Genomic DNA, 20175 nt, shown 5'->3' on the forward strand with positions numbered 1-20175 from the left:
CTTCCTGCATTGTCTGACTCACTCTTCCCTCTCAGAATTCAATTGCCTGCCTTTTCGGCTGACCTCTTATTGATTCTGTGGTGAGACACATTGCCTGTCTTTGAGTTTCAGATAAGACCTTATTCTTCTATCGTAAGTGGCAAAACTAAGACCAAAAAGCCAATGCCCTATAAAGGGTCTAAGGTGTGTTAGGATCCTAGGCACCTAAATCTGGTGTGAGATGTTCACAAGATTTCCATGCCCTTCTTTAAACATGGAAAGAGTAAGAAAGTGCTGACCACTGGCACTTGAATCACTTCATGTCCAATTCTCCCAATCCAACTATTAGGAATCTCATCCAGTATGAGACAGCTCCCCAGTTCAAGAACAAATGAGCCCACAACCCTCCCAAACCCATGTATTTTTTGGCTTCACTCCCGGGAGACAGCTCTGTCACAGCTTTCTTCTTCCCAATCAAAGCATAACCTATCTCACCTATTAGGAATAGTGGGATAATAGTAAGGAAATCCCAGTCTTTTCCTCAAAGCATCCCACTGGGACATTATTACTTAGGCAAATCCATGTCCTCTACTCAAAGGAAGAAGGAGACCCCTTCCTATCATACATAGAATAGTTTACGAAGGAAGAGCCTATTTTAGAGTTTGCTATTGTTCATCTTTACCCGTAGTATCATTCCTTTCAAGGACTCTAGATTTTAAGCTAGTTAAAACCACATTACTTTTGATCCTTTATATCAAACTCAAAATAAATATGACTTAATGATATTCTGTTTGGTTCAATGTGTTGGTAACAGTTCTTTATTCTGATTGCTACTAAATATGTTGTTGAATTCCAGAAGATCCTGGTTAGCCATTCTTGAAATAACATACTCAATAGCATTAACTTGGATTCATCCATATATGGACATCTACTTTGAGTATGTGGTCTTTTATTGAGATACATCTGGAATACATTAGTTGTTCCATTAACTGACTGCCTACTTGTATATAAAGATATTACTTATGAAAATGTATTAAAACCTCTTTTAGTAACCTTTGTAATTATATAATCTGCTTCTTACAAAAACTTTATGAGGCAGGTACGATTACTAATGCCCATTTTAGTGTTCAAGAAACTGAGATGGAGCTCTACTGAGTAAATTTCTCCAAGACATGCAGCTAATAAAAGGTTATGTTTGTATTTGAATCAAGAGTGTTTGGATCCAGAGCCCATGATTTTAACCGTGACTCAAATTAACTTTAGCAGATCTCCTGTCCATCTTAACTGAGACTCTTCCTATTTTTTGTCAGAACTTGACGAGATTGTATGACTCAGTTTTAATGGAGTCAGTCAACTTTCACTACTAATTTCACTAGCCCACAGCATCTGAAATAGATAGATCCCACCAAAAGATATTCTGCCAGAATGTAAGGACATAGAAGAAATTTGAAATACTCAAGGGCTAAAATTTGACAAACAGCCACTGCAGGGTGGAAACAAGATTTTCAAGTATTAAAATGTCAACCTCTTATTCTGACGCATGTATATCAGTAAGATTTAATATAGACCTTCTGACTTTCTAGACCTCATCCCTGGAAGAGAGGGCTCATTGATCTTCCATCTACTTGTCATCAAATGCTTGAAAAATTATTCATAAGAACAGTGAGTTTGCAAAATATCTAGGTTGTAAAAGGTATTTCCTCCTTCCATATTACAACTTCTGAAAAGCAATATCATATCTTCAAGAATGAGTTACATCAAAAAGCGATTATTCACAGAGGCCATCCCTCATGCCATTCTTATAGATTACACCTCTAGAGAAAGTAAAAACTCTTATCCATTGTGGTTTAGGAAATTTCTTTCTGTATGTTCCTCAGTCATTTTATCTTGTCCCCTTCAGCCAGCTTGTAGGTTCTCGTTGTTTTTGTTTTGTACACCACCTTCTCCACCATTAGTAGAATATTTACCTTATTGTCTTAACCCACAGTTTCCCAGTCTCAGCACTAGTGACATATTGAGCTGGATAATTATTTGTTGTGAGGGGACTGTCTTGAGTATTGCAAGATTTTTAGCAGCACCCCTGGCCTCTACATAAGGTGCTAGCAACGCTACTCTCTCCCCACCCCCAAGTTATGACAAGTAAAAATGCCCCCACTCATTGCCAAATGTCCGTTGGTGAGGAGGGCGGCAAAAATTACCCTCTGTTTGAAAACTACTGACATAAAGCATGGAGAAAGTTGTTTCCTAAGAAGATATATAAGATCACTTACATAGCTTTCAGCTTTAAATTTCCCTTCAAGGAGAACTTAATAAAAGATAGTGTTAAAGTACGTGGGCAATAAGAGGCAGTTATATACCTGAAAACTGACCATAGATTTGGGATTCAGACTGCCTGCCTGGGCCTGAACTCCAATTCTAGCAGCTAGTAATTACATGAAAGTTCACCACAGTTTCCTCATCTGTAAAGCTGAAATAATGACCTTGTACTGATTATTTTCGTTTGCTCCTCCAGATTATCTCCACCCTTGTCTTCCCTGACTGGGAGGCTGACCCACAGGACTAATCTTATTTTTCAGAAAAGAAACCTGAGATTCTATGACCTTAATAAGGAGTTTTTCTGAAATTACAAAAGTTGTATATGGGAGACTTGGGCTTCATAGCTAGGAGCACTGTCCTAAAATTAAACAAGCGCTCACAACACCAATGACTAACTTCCTGTTTTAATAATTCTACTAATTAGGAAAGTTTTAATACCCTTTATTTCATTTTGAAGATACTTCCATAACTGTACTTACTCCTGCATATACTTTCTATTAACTCTCAAATATTTGTGTAAAGATTGTTATCATTCTCCTTTAACAGATGAAGAAACTCAAGCCACAAGCCTTTTTTGTATGCTCTCCTATCCCATGAACATTCCCTTCAGCCTCTGCTTGATTTGTTTCCTCCAAACATTGGGCTTTAATTCTAGCTGTCACTTCATCAGAGAGCTCTTTTGTGGTTATCGTGTCATCTAGAGTCAGTTTCCCTTATTCCTTATTTATTCCCTGTATAGCACTTATCTACAATCTCGAATTATTTTATCTACACAGGTTTTTCTGCTTGCCATTCTACTCTCCAGCAGAGGAGACAGAGAATATAGCTGTCTACTTCACGTTTGTCTCCTCTGTGCCTAGCTTGACAACAGAGAGCAATATGTGATTATTTAATGAAGAGTCATACATCTAAGAAATGGTAGTCAGGAACTGAACTCAGATCTTAATGAATGAAAAGCAAAACTTGAAATCACTATGGCTATTTCCTTTTATAATCTGAAGGAATCTCTAATCCTAAGAATATAAGGGCAGACAAGGAATACAAGCGTCTCCACCAGTCTTCCCACATCACTTTCACAGTTGATTTTTCTCTCACTGTTGACCATCCTCTCTTCCAGCACCCTCAACTATTGGTCAATTTTATTGTACCATTTCCAAATTACATAACTAGTCCATTCACTTACTTTCATATTCATTGCTAACTTAGCTCAAGATAATGTCTTTATTTTTTATGCTATAACACAGTCTTCTTATTGATTTTTTTTTGTTTCACTCTTTCTCTCGATATCTTCTCCACAGAACAGCTGGTAGAAATTATAAAGAAAAAAATCGTAACATTGCCTTAAGGAAAAATTCTCAATCATTTTCCTTTGCAATTAGAATAAATATAAAAATCATTAGAATAACCAACAAAATCGTATTCTCTGATATTGCTTTCTGCACTCCCCCTCATTTACCTCTTCTCAGTGTTCCAGCCTTTTTAAAGTTTTGTTTGTTTGCTTGTTTGTTTGTTTGTTTGTTTTCTGAGATGGAGTCTCACGCTGTCGCTCAGGCTGGAGTGCGGTGGCGCGATCTCGGCTCACTGCAAACTCTGTCCCCCAGATTCACGTGATTCTTGTGCCAGTAGCTGGGACTACAGACGTGCGCCACCACGCCCGGCGAATTTTTTGTATTTTTAGTAGAAACGGGTTTTCGCCTTGCTAGCTGGTCTCGAAATCCTGACCTTAAGTGATCTGCCCGCCTCGGCCTCCTAAAGGGATGGGATTACAGGAGTAAGCCATGGCGCCTAGCCCCTTTTTTAAGTTTTTTGAGCAAGACAAGTTCAATCCTTTCTTTGGAATCCTGATCATTGTGTGTTAGGCTGCCTCATCATTCAAGGAAAGTTCTGCTTTCCCCAACTACTGTCCCTAAGAGCAAATAGTCCTTTTTTTTTTCTTTATGGCATTTATTTGCTACTGAAATTATTTATGTTTCATGTGTACCACTCCACACCAGAGGTTTTAGAATTTTTCCTAGATCATAACTGTATTTGCAGTTCCTGGAACAATACCCGGTGCGAAGTAGACCCCCTAAATTTAAAAAAAAATGAGTAAATGAATAAAGATATTTATTCTGGACTTTCACAGAACTTTTAGAATAATGGCTCAGTATCATTACCTTTTATTCTTATCTAAAAATGTTTCTAAGAAAAACTCAAACCTAATATGCTGGAAATAGGCAGGAGCCTTTCCACTGCAAATGACACAAACTCAACTCAAACTACCTTAGACTAAAATGTAATTTTTCAGCTCTAGTGTCTGAAATACCCAAAAAGTGACGTGACATTCAACCCGGACTTGAAGTTAAAACACTGTTGGCTGCTCCTCTTTCTCTCTCTCTCTCACTCTCTCTTCCCCTGCCTCTTTCCTCTTTCTCCCTCTCCTTTTAATTCTGTTAACTTTATTTTTAGATCGTATCTCTATAATTAGTATTAATATGACCGCAAGCTACCCCAGGCTTACAGTTAGTGATCTCAGGGTAAAGAAAGCAGTCCCCTCTCACACGGTGTACATAGAGGTGCTCCCAATTTATTGTTTTGCTCCACCCCAAAATATGAGCCCATCTCAATAATGGAGGAAGTAGGCATATCCTTGTGTGACAATCCCAGCAGAACCACATAGAGAGGAAGAGGAGGACTGGCTCAAAAATTAAAGCTCAGGAAAGAAGAAAGTGCACTTAAAGGCCACCAAGCCATAATGTGCCCTTTTCAGTGGCTTATTGTAGGAAACATGCCAGCCGTTCAAAGCCACCTACAATAAGCGAATCTGAGGTTAAACTAACGTTGGAAAGACAGATCCAGGTGTATTTCACCTTCCTTCTGATCCTGGATGGTGACATAACTGGTTCAGCCTTTAGGATAACTGTTCAACTTGGGTTGAACTTAGCCATGAGGCAAGAAAGTATGGAAATTTTAAATGTTCTAACTAGTTTATGCTCCATTTCACACTCAGTGATATTAAATGAGACATGAGAGATGAACAATGCAGTTGGTTCTTCATTAAACTGTTATAGCCTTTTCTATTTTAAGCTTTTATAGGCTTATATCTATTTGTAGATGTGCAGGTGAATACTTGCACATTTCCTCTGACATATGTGGAGAATAAACAAATACCCGTGATGGTAAAGATACATTTCTTCATTCTAAAGATATCAATTATCAATATGTAGATTCTGGATGGTATAAAACATTAATCCCTAGTTTGCCAACATTGGCTAGAACATTTTCTAAAGAAGCCTACCAGTTTAGGGGGATGTAGACAGTATTCCCCCCTTATTTACGGTTTTGCTTTCTGTGGTTTCAGTTACCCACAGCCAACTGAGGTCTGAAAATATTAAATAAAAAATTCCAGAAGTAAACAATTCATATTCTTTAAATTGAGTAGCATTCTGAGCAGCACGATGAAATCCCATGCTGTCCTGCTCCATCCTGCGTGATACATGAATTATTTCTTTGCCTCAGAATATCCACCCTGTAGGCAGTAACCTGTCCATTAGCCGCTTAGTAGTTGTTCCTGTTATCAGATTGACTTAGTGGTATCGCAGTGCTTGTGTTCAAGTAACCCTTATTTTACTTGTAATAACTTGAAAGTGCAAGAGTCGTGATGCTGGAATATTGTTTTACTATTGTTGTCGTTATTCTCTCACTATGCCTAATTATGAATTAAGCTTTACTATAGGTATGTATGTATAGGAACAAACATTAGTATATATAGAGTTTGGTACTATCCAGCATTTTTGGTATCACTGCAGGAGGTGGTCTTGGAAGGTATCTGCTGAAGATAATAGAATACAATTTTATCTTAACAATACAAATTCTCACATAAACCAAAGGAGTCTAGGGAAAATAAGCCATATTTTAAAAAAATACTTAACTAAAAGATCTATTCCTCTAAGCTGCTTATCTGCATTAGTAACACAGGGGCACCAAACTGGAGATAGTAACTTTCTGAAAGAAAGTATGTTTTGAGGACCCTTGGAAAATAAAAAAAATACATGTTTTGGGAAGAAAAATCCTGCCAAACAGCCAAAACAATATAGTATAATGAGACAATTATATTATTGACCAAGTTTACATAAAATTTGATTCTTTACAACCACCACCACCATAGAAAGAAAAGCTTACATTGGACACTACATTTAATTATGAAATATAGAAAAGATTCAAGTAGAGATTGTTTTAATGATGACTAACATTGTAATTTTAATGAAGAGAGTTTCTCTTGACTTAGAGCTTTCTTACTACTCTTTATTCTAGTGTGTCTTAAGCTATTACATTGGCAAAAAAATTATAAGAAAATAGGATTTGATGTAGTTTGATTGCGTGTCATGGCCCAAATCTCATGTTGAAATATAATCACCAATGTTGGAGGTAGGTCCTGGTGGGAGTTGGTTGGATCATGGGGGCAAATTTCTCATGAATGGCTTAGCACCTTCCCCTGGGTGCTGTCCTTGCGATAGTGAGAGAATTCTCTCAAGATCTGGTTATTTAAAAGCATGTGGAACCCTCTGTCTCGCTCTTGTCCCTGCTTTCACCATGTAACGTACCTGCTCTCCCTTTGCCTTCCTGCCTGATCATAGTTTTCTGAGACCTCCTCAGCAGCAGATGCCACTATGCTTCCTGTACAGCCTGCAGAACCTTAAGCCAATTAAAAACCTCTTTTCTTTATAAATTACCCAGTGTGGGTATTTTTAGCAATGGAATAATAGGCTTATATAGATTTAATATATAACCAATCAATATAAAAATCTCAGTGAATTCACACTACCGAAAACTTACTTATTCTACATACATGGATTACCCTTTCCTTAGAGCTTCCTAAAATTAGATTAATGAAGGTAAGTAGAATCTGCTCTAATGATTCCACTCTACTTAGGAAATATGGGGAAAAAAACCATAAGAGGATTATTTACTCTTTGTTATTTTCAACCATCATTAAATCTCCTTCATATTGATGGGAGTAATAATTTAATAATAAATGCTATGAAATAAGCAGTAAAAACTGATTACTGTGTAATGAACAAAAGTATATTTGTCAAATCCAGTAGTCCCTTTTTAGTTTTAATCTTAAAAATTTTAGTCGTTAATTAATTCTGATAACAATCTTTTTTTTTCTACCATTCTTTTTCTTCTTTTCTTCCATATTACTCCTTCTCTTATTTCCTTGCCTGCTTCTCTTGAAGCTTATTTTCTGTAAGTACAAATACTCCACCAGTTTAGGTTCCATCTTTGGCTTTTAAAATTCATCTATCTAGGCAAGGCACAGTGGCTCACTGCTGTAATCCCAGCACTTTGGTAGGCTGAGGCGGGCAGATCACTTGAGGTCAGGAGTTGAAGACCAACCTGGTCAACATGGTGAAATCCCATCTCTACAACAAAACAAAACAAACAACAACAACAACAACAAAATTAGCCAGATGTGGTGACGCAGGCCTGAAATCCTAGCTACTTGGGAGACTGAGACACGACAGTCGTTTGAACCTGGGAGGTGGAGGTGGCAGTGTGCAGAGATCGCGCCACTGCACTTCAGCCTGGGTGGCAGAGTGAAACTCTGTCTTAAAAAAAAAAAAATCTATCTATCTATCTATCTTTTGCCATTGAAATCCTATTTTGCCACTTAACCACATTTTTTTTCTTCTTTCAGAACTTTATTTTTTCTTATTTTTTTTTTTCACTTCAAGTTCCGGGATACATGTGCAGAACGTGCAGGTTTGTTATACAGGTATATGTGTGCCTTGGTGGTTTGCTGCACTTATTGACCTATCGTCTAAGTTTCTTGCCCTCACCCTCCACCCCCAACAGGCCTGGTATATGTTGTTTCCCTCCCTGTGTCCAAGTGTTCTCATTGTTCAACTCCCACTTATGAGTGAGAACATGCGGTGTTTGGTTTTCTGTTCCTGTGTTAGTTTGCTGAGAATGATGGCTTCCAGCTTCATTCATGACCCTGCAAAGCACATGATCTCATTCCTTTTAATGGCTGCATAGTATTCCATGGTGTATATGTACCACATTTTCTTTATCCAGTGTATCATTTATGGGCATTTTTGTTGGTTTCATGGCTTTGCTATTGTAAATAGTGCTGCAATAAACATATATGTGTATGTGTCTTTATAGTAGAATGATTCATATTTCTTTGGGTATATACCCAGTAACAGGATTGCTGGGTCTAATGGTATTTCTGTTTCTAGATCCTTGAGGAATCACCACACTGTTTTTCACAATGGTTGAACTAATTTACGTTTCCATCAACACTGTAAAAGCATTCCTATTTCTCCACAGCCTCACCAGCATCTATGTTCTTGAATTTTTAATAATTGCCATCTTGAATTTTTAATAATGGCATGAGATGGTATCTCATTGTGATTTTGATTTGCATTGCTCTAATGATCAGTGACGTTGTGGTTATTTTCATATGTTTGTTGGCCATGTAAATGTCTTCTTTTGAGAAGTGTCTATTCACACCCTTTGCCCACTTTTTGAAGGGGTTGTTTGTTTTTGTAAATTTGTTTCAGTTGCTTGTAAATTCTGGATATTAGACCTTTGTCCGATGGGTAGATTGCAAAATTTTTCTCCCATTCTGTAGATTGCCTGTTCACTCTGATGGTCGTTTCTTTTGCTATGCAGAAGCTCTTTAGTTTAATTAGATCCCATATGTCAATTTCGGTTTCTGTTGCAATTGCTTTTTGCATTTTCATCATGAATTCTTTGCCCATGCCTATATCCTGAATGGTGTTGGCTAGGTTTTCTTGCAGCCATCTTGGGTTAATTTTTGTATAAGGTGTAAGGAAGGAGTCCAGTTTCAGTTTTCTGCATATGGCTAGCCAGTTATACCAGCACCATTTATTGAATAGGAGATCCTTTCTCCATTGCTGTTTTTTGTCAGGTTTGTTGAAGATCAGATGGTTTAGATGTGTGGTGTTATTTCTGTGGTCTCTGTTATGTTCCAATGATCTATATGTCTGTGTTGGTACCAGTAGCAAGCTCGTTTGATTTCTGTAGCCTTGTTGTATAGTTTGAAATCAGGTAGCGTGATGCCTCCAGCTTTGTTCTTATTGCTTAGGATTGTCTTGGCTATACGGGGTCTTCTTTGATTCCATATGAAATTTAAAGTAGTTTTTTCGAATTCTGTGAAAAATATCCACGGTAGTTTGATGAGACTAGCACTGAATCTATAAATTACTTTGGGCAGTATGGCCATTTTCACAATATTGATTCTTCCTATCCACGAGGATGGAATATTTTTCTATTTGTTTGTGTCCTCTCTTATTTGCTGAGCAGCAGTCTGTAGCTCCCCTAGAAGAGGTTCTTCACATCCCTTGTTAGCTGTATTCCTAGGTATTTTATTCTCTTTGTAGCAATTGTGAATGGGAGTTCATTTATGATTTGGCTCTCTGCTTGCCTACTGTTGGTGTATAGGAATGCTTGTGATTTCTGCATATTGATTTTGTATTCTGAGACTGGTGAAATTGCTTATCAGCTTTAGGAGATTTTGGGCTGAGATGATGGGGTTTTCTAAATATAGAATCATGTCATTTGCAAGCAGAGACTATTTGACTTTCTCTCTTCCTATTTTAATACCATTTATTTCTTTCTCTTGCCTGATTGTTCTGGCCAGAACTTCCAATACTATGTTGAATAGGAGTGGTGAGAGAGGGCATCCTTGTCGTGTACAGGCTTTCAAAGGGGATACTTCCTACTTTTGCTCATTTAATATGATATTGGCTGTGGGTTTTTCATAAATATATCTTATTATTTTGAGATATGTTCCATTAATTCCTAGTTTATTGAGACTTGTTAACATGAAGGGATGTTGAATTTTATCAAAGGCCCTTTCTGCATCTATTGAGATAATCATTTGGTTTTTGTCTTTGGTTCTGTTTAGGTGATGGATTACATTTATTGATTTGCATATGTTGAACTAACCTTGCATCCCAGGGTTGAAGCTGACTTGATCATGGTCAATAAGTTTTTTAATGTGTTGCTGAATTTGATTTGCCAGTATTTTATTGAATATTTTTGCATTCATGTTCATCAGGGATATTGGCCTGAAGTTTTCTTTTTTTGTTGTGTCTCTGCCAGATTTTGGTATCAGGATGATACTTACTTCATAAAATGAGTTAGCCCTCCTTTTCAATTGTTTGGAATAGTTTCAGAAGGAATGGTACCAGCTCCTCTTTGTACCTCTTGTAGAATTTGGCTGTGAATCCACCTGGTCCTGGGCTTTTTTTGGTGAATAGGCTATTAATTACTGCCTCAATTTCAGAACTTGTTATTGATCTATTCAGGGATTCAACTTCTCTTAGGTTTAGTCTTGGGAGGGTGTATGTGTCCAGGAATTTATCCATTTCTTTTCAATTTTCTAGTTTATTTGGTAGAGGTGTTCATAGTATTCTCTAATGCTAGTTTGTATTTCTTTGGGGTCAGTGGTGATATCCCCTTTATCTTGTTTTGTGTCCATTTGATTCTTCTCTCTTTTCTTCTTTATTAGTCTAGATAGTGCTTTACCTATTTTGTTAATTTTTTCTAAAATCCACCTCCCGGATTAATTGATTTTTGGTAGCTTTTTCGTGTCTCTATCTCCTTCAATCCTGCTCTGATGTTAGTTATTTCTTGTCTTCTGCTAGCTTTTGGATTAGTCTACTCTTGTTTCTCTAGCTCTTTTAATTGTGATGTTAGGGTGTTGATTTCAGATCTTTCTAGCGTTCTGATGTGGGCATTTAGTGCCATAAATTTTCCTCTTAACACTGCTTTAGCTGTGTCCCAGAAATTCTGGTACGTTGTCTCTTTGTTCTCATTGGTTTCAAAGAAACTCTTGATTTCTGCCTTAAATTTCATTATTTACCCAAGAGTCATTCAGGAGCAGGTTGTTCAATTTCAGTGTAATTGTGTGATTTTGAGTGAGTTTCTTAATTCTGACTTCTAATTTGATTGCACTGTGGTCTGTGCAGTGACTGTTATGACTTCACTTCTTTTGCATTTGCTGAGGAGTGTTTTCCTTCCAATTATGTGGTTGGCTTTAGAATAAGTGCCATGTGGCACTGAGAAGAATGCATATTATGTTGATTTGGGGTGGAGAGTTCTGTAGATGTCTATTGGGCCCACTTGATCCAGAGCTGAATTCAAGCCCTGAATATCCTTATTAATTTTATGTCTTGATCTGTCTAATATTGACAGTGGGGTGTTAAAATCTCCCACTATTATAGTGTGGGAGTCTAAGTCTTTTTGTAGGTCTCTAAGAATTTGTTTTATGAATCTGGGTGCTCCTGTATTGAGTGCACATATATTTAAGAGAGTTAGCTCTTCTTGCTGAATCGATCCCTTTACCATTATGTGAAGCCCTTCTTTGTCTTTTTTGATCTTTGTTGGTTTGAAGTTTTGTCAGAGATAGGATTGCAACTCCTGCTTTTTTTTGTTTTCCATTTGCTTGGTAAATTTTCCTCCATCACCTTATTTTGAGCCTCTGTATGTCTTTGCATGTGAGATGGGTGTCCTGAATACAGCACCCCTAAGGGTGCTCTTTCCAATTTGTCAGCACCCCTAAGGGTGCCTCTTTCCAATTTGCCAGTCTGTGTCTTTTAACTGGGGCAGTTAGCCCATTTACATTTAAGATTAGTATTGTTATGTTGAATTTGATCCATCATCATGATGCTTTCTGGTTATTTTGCCCACTAGTTGATGCAGTTTCTTCATAGTGTCATTGGTCTTTATATTTTGAGGTGTTTTCTGCAGTGACTGATACCAGTTTTTCCTTTCCATATTTAGTGCTTCCTTCAGGAGTGATTGCAAGGCAGGCCTGGTGGTGATGAAATTTCCCTCAGCATTTGCTTGTCTGGAAAGGATTTTATTTCTCCTTTGCTTATGAAGCTTAGTTTGGCTGGATATGAAATTCTGGGTTGAAAATTCTTTTCTTGAAGAATGTTGAATATTGGCCCTCAATCTCTTCTTCCTTTTAGGGTTTCTGCTGAAAGGTCTGCTGTTAGTCTGACGGGCTTCCCTTTGTAGGTGACCTGGCCTTTCTTTCTGGCTGCCCTTAACATTTTTTCCTTCATTTCAACCTTGGAGAAGCTGATGACTATGTGTCTTGGGGTGGCTCTTCTCATGGAGTATCTTAGTGGTGTTCTCTGTATTTCCTGAATTTTCATGTTGGCCTATCTTGCTAGGTTGGGGACGTTCTCCTTGATAGTATCCTGAAGTGTGTTTTCCAGCTTGTTCCCATTCTGCGTGTGTTCTTCAGGTACTCCAGTCAATCATAGGTTTGGTCTTTTTATCTAGTCCTGTATTTCTTGGAGGCTTTGCTCATTCCTTTTTTATTCTTTTTTTCTCTAATCTTGTCTGCATGCCTTATTTCAACAAGGTGGTCCTCCAACCCTGATATCCATTCTTCCACTTGGTTGATTTGGCTACTGACATTTGTGTATGCTTCACAAAGTTCTTGTGCTGTGTTTTTCAGCTCCATCAGGTCATTTGTGGTCCTCTCTGAACTGGTTATTCTAGTTAGCAGCTCCTCTAACCTTTTATCAAGGTTCTTAGCTTCTTTGCCTTGGGTTACAATATGCTCCTTTGGCTAAGCAGTGTTTTTTATTACCTATCTTCTGAAGCCTACTTCTGTCAATTTGTCCATCTCATCCTCATCCTTGCTGAAGAGAAATTGCAATCATTTGGAGTAGAAGAGGCACTCTGGCCTTCGGGGTTTTCAGCTTTTTTTCATTGATTCTTTCTCATCTTTATGACTTTTTCTTATTTCGATCTTTCAGGTTGCTGACCCTTGGTTGGGGTTTTTGTGGGGACTTTTTGTTGTTGTTGTTGATGCTGTTGTTATTGCTTTCTGTTTGATTGTTTTTCTTTCAGTGGTCAGGCCCTCCTTCTGTAGGGCTGCTGTGGTTTGCTGGGGGTTCACTTCAGGCCCTATTCATCTGCTTTACTCCTGCACCTGGAGATGTCACTCAAGGAGGCTGGAGAACAGCAAAGTTGGGTGCCTGCTCCTTCTTCTGGGATCTCTGACCTTGACAGGCACTAACCTGGTATCAGTAGGATAGCTCCTGTATAGGGTGTCTGACAACCTCTGTTGGAGGGTCTCACCCAGTTGGGTGGCACAGGGAACGGGACCCATTAACAAAACACTTTGACTGTCCCTTGGTAGAGGGGGTAGGCTTTGCTGGGGGGAAACCCAATTGTCTGGGCTGCCTGGATTCCTCAGAACTACCAGGAGGAAAGGCTAAGTCTGCTGGTCGGCAGATGGTGGCCACCCTTCCTGCTAGGGGCTCAGGCCCAGGGAGATCAGGGTTCTGTCCCTGACCCTCTGGCTGGAGTTGCTGGAGTTCCTGCAGGGAGGCCCCACCCACTGAGAAAGTATGAGTCAGGGTCAGGCCTGAAGAGGCACTCTTGCTGCAGTCTGCCATAGCTGGTGTGTTGGGCTGTGGGGGACACCTCTTGGGACCAAGCCATTCAGGCTTCCTGGTTCCAGAAGGGGAAAAGCATGGCCTGGAGCTATAGAGATGGATGCTGCCTTTCCCCAACCCAGGGAGCTTGGTGTGTGAGGCAGTTATGAGTCCCAGTGCTGACTGCTGCCCCTCCCTCAAGGAGCTCAAAATGCTTAGCTAGGAGGCAGCCGCAGCTGTGGAGCTCGCCGCCCCTTCCCCCTGAGACCTTGACAGGCTTAAGCAGATTCTAGCTGAGAGGCTGTTGAGAATCTGCATGGCTCTGGGATTGGGACCCTAAGCCTCAGTGGCATGGGTTCACCAGTGAGAACTTCCAATCCGTGGGTTGCTCAGTTCTGTAGAAAAAGCACTGTTTCCCTGGCTGGGTAACATGCTCACCCATTGCCTTCCTTCGTTGTGGGGTGGAGGCTCCCCTGTCCCATGTGGCTCTCCGGTGGGCCACCACACCACGCTGCTCTTCTTTCCTCTCCGTGGATCACGCCAGCCATCTAGTTGGTTCTGATGAGAGAATATGTTTACCTTGGTTGCTAGTGCATGATTCACATGCTACTGTGGTTATTTTCAATGGCAGCCTCTGATTGCCACTGCTTCTAGTTGGCTCCACCCTCTAACCATTTTTCATGTGGCATTAAAATTCTCATTTCTAGATCAAACTTCAGATGAACTTTTTGTACAACTTACATCACTTGTCCCATTGATAGTCCATTTTGTAATGATCTAAACTCAATATCCTCCCAAAACCTTTCATCTTCTTAGTTCCTTCTTTCGATTAATGATGCCAGCCTTCCTATTGTGAGGTGTAAAACCCTAGTCATATTTAAGTCCTTGCTCTCTTGAGCTAACCACAATAATTTAATATTTAAATTATGTGATTCTAAATTCCAAAATCTTTTTTATCCTCTCTTTATTATTTATTTTTAATATTGCCCTATTTATACAAATTCTTTATCAGATTATAGGTACATCTCATAGTGCCTTGCAGCACTTTGTATAATGCCTTATATCAATTAGGCATAACACATATAGTTTGTTGAAGTAAGTTGTATACACAGGTGCCAACATTTATAATTACGGTCCTTATTTTTCAAAGAAACATAAGCTATAGTTTAGAGCTTCCCTTCCACAAAAATTACATGACACTAGAAGTAAAATCAATATTAAAGTCATATTTTAGGTACTATAAAACCCAACTCTACATGATATGTTTTCTACCACCAAAAGTTTAGAATTCGTATTAGTAATTGTATAGGTTGGAAATACCCAATTTGCAGCTTTTCTAATCTGTAAAATAACAAAATACTAACAATTCATGAAAAGCAATAAATTCAGTTTGAAAATTGAGCAAAGGAAAGGATACTAACATTGAGTGCTCGATATTGGCAGGTACTATGATAGAGAACGTACATAGGCAGTTTAGCTAAAACCTTACAATAAGCTTGTGGAGAGAGATCATTTTATGGCATTTTACATATGGGAAAAACTTTCATTTTTTATTTCTCCATGATCACAATTCTAGTAAATGGCTCCCCTGAAACTAAAATCTAACTTTTCACTTTTTAAATCACATTTGTGGGAGACACCTAATAATATGTACCAGGCTTCTGTCTTACTGTGCAATGCAGATAAAATTTAAAGAGAAAAAAATGTGTTATACTACATTTGGGAATTTTTGAATAAGAAGCAAAAGTTTATGTTAAGCTAAAACACTTTCAAATCTCTAAAAGCATCAATCATGTATTATCTAGCCTCCAAGCATTTATATAAACTGCTTTCTCTGCCTAGTAAAATAAAAACAATATAACAATAAGTGAATGACAGTAAAATAATTCATACATTCTTTAATTTAACAATCAAAAATTGAGTGCATACTCTGTGCAGTGACCATGATTCCTGGAGTTTACAATTGTTCCTGGATAAATATATTCATCAGTTGGATATTCTACTTATTAGCTGTGTAACACTGGATAATCCGCTATTTCCCTGAGCTTTAATTTTTTATATGTAAATAGGATTTTAAATTTCTTAATATATTAGACTCTTGTAAAAAATAGATGTAGAAATATTGTGATTTGTTTAACACACTTACTAGCAGTCATTTTGGATTTGACTTTCAGCCACAATTTTGGTTATTTTTGGTGTTTTGCTTCACTTTTTAAATTCTTCCTTAGAATTTAGCAATCTGATTATACATCCTTCTTCCCAAGAAACCTTCCCTGCAACCTCAGTACAAAATGAAGCATCATTTCCGTACATATACTCATATAACTATCTGTATATATCACCATATTACAAATCACATTTTTTTTGTAATTACATGTATTTTACATCCCAAATCAGACTATAAGGTTTTTATTTTTTATTTATTTATTTTTTTTGGAGACGGAGTCTTGCTCTTTTCACCCATGCTGGAGTGCAATGGCACTATCTTGGCTCACTGCAACTTCCACCTCCCGGGTTCAAGCAGTTCTCCTGCCTCAGTCTCCCAAGTAGCTGGGATTACAGGTGCCCGCCACCACACTGGGCTAATTTTTGTATTTTTAGTAGAGACAAGGTTTCACCATATTGACCAGGCTGGTCTCAAACTCCTGATCTCAGGTGATCAGCCTGCCTCGGCCTCCCAAACTGCTGGGGTTACAGGCATGAGCCACCACCCCATGCCAACTATAAGATTCTTAAGGGTAAGGTGAGATTTGTACTGCTCACCCATGAGTTCACAGCAGGTGCCACATTTCTAGACCACAATGGATTTCTAATAAGTGGTTCTCAATGAATGTGCTTGGAGTACAAAGAAATAATGGGGAGGTAGGGGTGATAAATTTCCTGGCAGTTGTTTCAGTATTGCAACCCAAATTGGATATACAATGGATGGAAGGCCATTATCAACCCAACAGCCATGTGAGTGTTTTAACTCTCTACTGCCTTTCAGTTTAATAGTGCTCCTCAGTAGGAAAGGCAAAACAGACTGCATGCACTGTCTGTCTGGAATATTGTTGAAAAGTTTCATATATTAGAAGAAATATTGGACTCAAGAACATTCCCAGGCACCAAATAGAAATTTATTACTTAGTTTGATTTTGCTTAGAAAAATGTAATATCTGGGTAAATAAAATCTGAAAATAGAGCATTTATTGTCTCATTATATATAAGAATTGAATAACCTTGATATTTAAACAGAACTTGTGAATGCAGGTAATATTAGTTACAAAATGTCATCAGTCAAATCCTCAGTCTTTCATTATGGTGGCTATGAAGATTGAAAATTTTAAATAAAGCTGGGCTGTACTGAACTTTTCACTTCCTCCAAGTGAGTAAGTTCCTTTTTTTTTTTTGGATTGTCCTCAAAGCAATTTTATTCCAGCAGTGGCTCTTTATGATAAACTGGGATAACTTCATCCTTCATTGATGGATGTGGGCTTCTCTGCTGACATGACAGATATGCTTTTTTGTAAGGTTTTCCTCAAGAAATATAGCAATTAAGCTTAGAATGTAAGAGGATAAACTATAATTTATAACCTTCTCCCTAACACAGCAATCTAGAAAGGGTGTTTCTAATTCGAGGAAACACAAACAAAACAAGGGAAAGTCAAAAGAACAACAGCAACAAAAACAACAATAGAAAGGGGTTGGTAAGGCTTTCAAAACTTGTAAACTTTTTATACACTGTACTTGACATATCTCAGTGGAATGTGCATCAGAGGGGAAAAAAAGCATGTCATTGCTCTGAAACTGTCTTTTCTAATTCAGTGCATCCATGTATTGTTATAAATCTGTTTCCCAATCATGCTTCCTCACTGAAAGATGCAGACACAAGGGAACAAGCTGCACTACTATCTATCAGCTCAGATAAAGGAAAAGTTTCTTTTAGCCTGACACTGACAGCTTAATGAAATGAAGGCCAAGATGCATGCATGCAAATAAGAGAAAGACTGGTAAGGTAGTGACCATACTTGGTATTTAAAATAGGCAAGTAGGGTAACTTGTACCTATGTTTTTTTTTCCCTTAGGCTAGGGCAGTGAGACTAAGACTGCTTTCTGTGGATAGTCTATGGACACTGCTTTCACAACTTTATAGATACAACTTTTCTTTGGCCTAATGAAACAATTGAAGCCATAGCACTTATTTAAAGGATTAAAAAAAAAGCTATAGTATTATTTTTCTATTTTGATAAATGAAGAAGATGATAAGATACCGGATCTCATTATGTAAACTTGTGTTATGCATTGTGATTTCCTGTCGTTGCTTTGAACCTTGCAGCTGGGTTATTTTAAAATCTCTAAGGACCAGTGGGATTTTTATAGAATGAACTGAAAAATGGATCCAATCCTTTACTTGAAACATAGCAAATATTTATTACCCTTTGTTTCCCATTAGTTTTTACTTTCACACGCCTACACCTTTCCTTAGCATCTGTAGGAGAAAAAGAATAGCGGGAAGAACTGGAAAGAACTTCCTGTCACACACTCCAGATTATTAACAGTAAACACAAAGTACTCAAAATCTCATGAGAAAATCTGAATGGTAAGAGAATTACAGCATTAAGTTTGGTGAAAGAGGTGATGATTATAATGCAAGTGGTTTTTTTTTTTCTTTTTCTTCTCAATCTTCGTTTGGTTAAAGGTGAAAATGTTTTGAAAAAGAATATAAAATGTAGTCTTCACTGACATTTCACCCAATCACTAATCCTTAAAAGGATTACTTGTCAATGATTTCATTCCTGATTCGAATGCATTTACACTGAATATGTGAGAACTGCGTTTCTGTATGTGCTTCAAGTTGCCAGTGTCCTCCAAAACACACAAGTCACCTTGTAAAGCTATTTCAGACAAAAGTGACATAAAGATATTGCTGTTTCTAAGATTTTCCCCCATTATATAAATGTCTATAATACCATTAGGATTACAACAGAAGAGAAACCTGATTTTCTCCAATCACTAGCTAGATTTATATCTAATGTCGCTCTATATCTTCAGAGCATTTTAGAGCTTACACCAAGAACACAGTTGAGGCCGGGAGTGGTAGCACACGCTTGTAATCCGAGATACTCAGGTGGCTGCGGCACGAGGATTGCTTGAACCTGGGAGCACCCACTGCACTCTAACCTGGGCAACAGAGTGAGACTCTGTCTAAAAATAATAATACAGCTGAAATCAGAATTAACAGAAAGATTAATGCTACAGTTTTAAAGTAGAGAAAACCATTCCTAAAATTCTGGGTTTTGTTTGTTTGTTTGTTTGTTTGAGACAGAGTCTCACTCTGTCGCCCAGGCTGGAGTGCAGTGGCGCGATCTCGGTTCACTGCAAGCTCCACCTCTCTGGTTATGTCATTCTCCCGCCTCAGCCTCCCGAGTAGCTGGGACTACAGGCGTCCACCACCACGCCTGGCTAATTTTTTGTATTTTTAGTAGAGACGGGGTTTCACCGTGTTAGCCAGGATGGTCTCGATCTCCTGACCTCCTGATCCACCTGCCTTGGCCTCCCAAAATGCTGGGATTACAGGCGTGAGCCACCGCACCCAGCCTAAAATTCTGTTATTAAATCAGTGTAAAGCAGGTGTTTCATCTTCATATGTGAAAGATTTTTGACCTCTATTTTATCCTCCATCTTTTTTTCTTTACTCTTATACCAATAGCCACACACACACACACACACACACACACACACACACACACCTTAAAGGTAGAGGTATTAAATTAATTCACTATTTTATTTAAACTCAGGGGCAACCACTGATTCACAGTCAAACAATATTTATCAAAAGGCAAGAGTTATTGTAAAAACAAAAATCTTAAGAAACTCACTGAAGGATCTACTCTGGTTAGCTATTATAGGCTAATTGCTATAAAATTAAAAACAAAAGCAAATACTTTTTTAGTTGTTTAATGCGGTGGAACTTTATGTCTTCCATCTCAGTCTACTTGCACAATCCTCTGTGTGGTGATTGAGAGACTCAAGGTCATTCTATCTAGTGGCTCTCCCACTATAAGGTCCTCAGAGTTCTCCACCAGACCCTGTGCATCAGGACTAGAGAGAAAGGAGAGCAAGCATGGGAGGTCTCATGGAAGGTATTTTAGAGGCTGGGCCTAAACTGGATGAAATTACTTCTTTCCAAATTATTTAAACAAGCCTCAATCAATTGGCTCCATCAAACTAGTGTGTAATGTAGAATTTTTATTATTATTATTATACTTTAAGTTTTAGGGTACATGTGTACAACATGCAGGTTTGTTACATATGTATACATATGCCATGTTGGTGTGCTATACCCATTAACTCGTCATTTAACATTAGGTATATCTCCTAATGCTATCCCTCCCCCCTCCCCCCACCCCACAACAGGCCCGGTGTGTGATGTTCCCCTTCCTGTGTCCATGTGTTCTCATTGTTCAATTCCCACCTATGAGTGAGA

At 38.2% G+C, this 20175-nt stretch overlaps 1 long non-coding RNA gene across 1 annotated transcript in view, besides 2 other annotated features; it reads left to right on the forward strand.

Annotated features, from left to right (window-relative positions):
- Positions 1 to 20175, forward strand: part of LINC02172 (long intergenic non-protein coding RNA 2172) — a 57700-nt gene that overhangs the window by 13420 nt on the left and 24105 nt on the right. The window lies entirely within an intron of this gene.
- Positions 13249 to 13458: an enhancer, noted in NCBI's record as "active region_21909". NCBI's record gives its function as "activates an Ori minimal core promoter by ATAC-STARR-seq in GM12878 lymphoblastoid cells {active_cell/tissue: GM12878}" and the evidence as "EXISTENCE:reporter gene assay evidence [ECO:0000049][PMID:35858748]".
- Positions 13751 to 14250: an enhancer, noted in NCBI's record as "H3K4me1 hESC enhancer chr4:138494055-138494554 (GRCh37/hg19 assembly coordinates)". NCBI's record gives its function as "activates a minimal SCP1, AML or CMV promoter by ChIP-STARR-seq in primed H9 embryonic stem cells {active_cell/tissue: H9 hESC(primed)}" and the evidence as "EXISTENCE:reporter gene assay evidence [ECO:0000049][PMID:30033119]".

This window comes from Homo sapiens, chromosome 4 (genome assembly GCF_000001405.40).
Source record: "Homo sapiens chromosome 4, GRCh38.p14 Primary Assembly".
Taxonomy (NCBI): domain Eukaryota; kingdom Metazoa; phylum Chordata; class Mammalia; order Primates; family Hominidae; genus Homo; species Homo sapiens.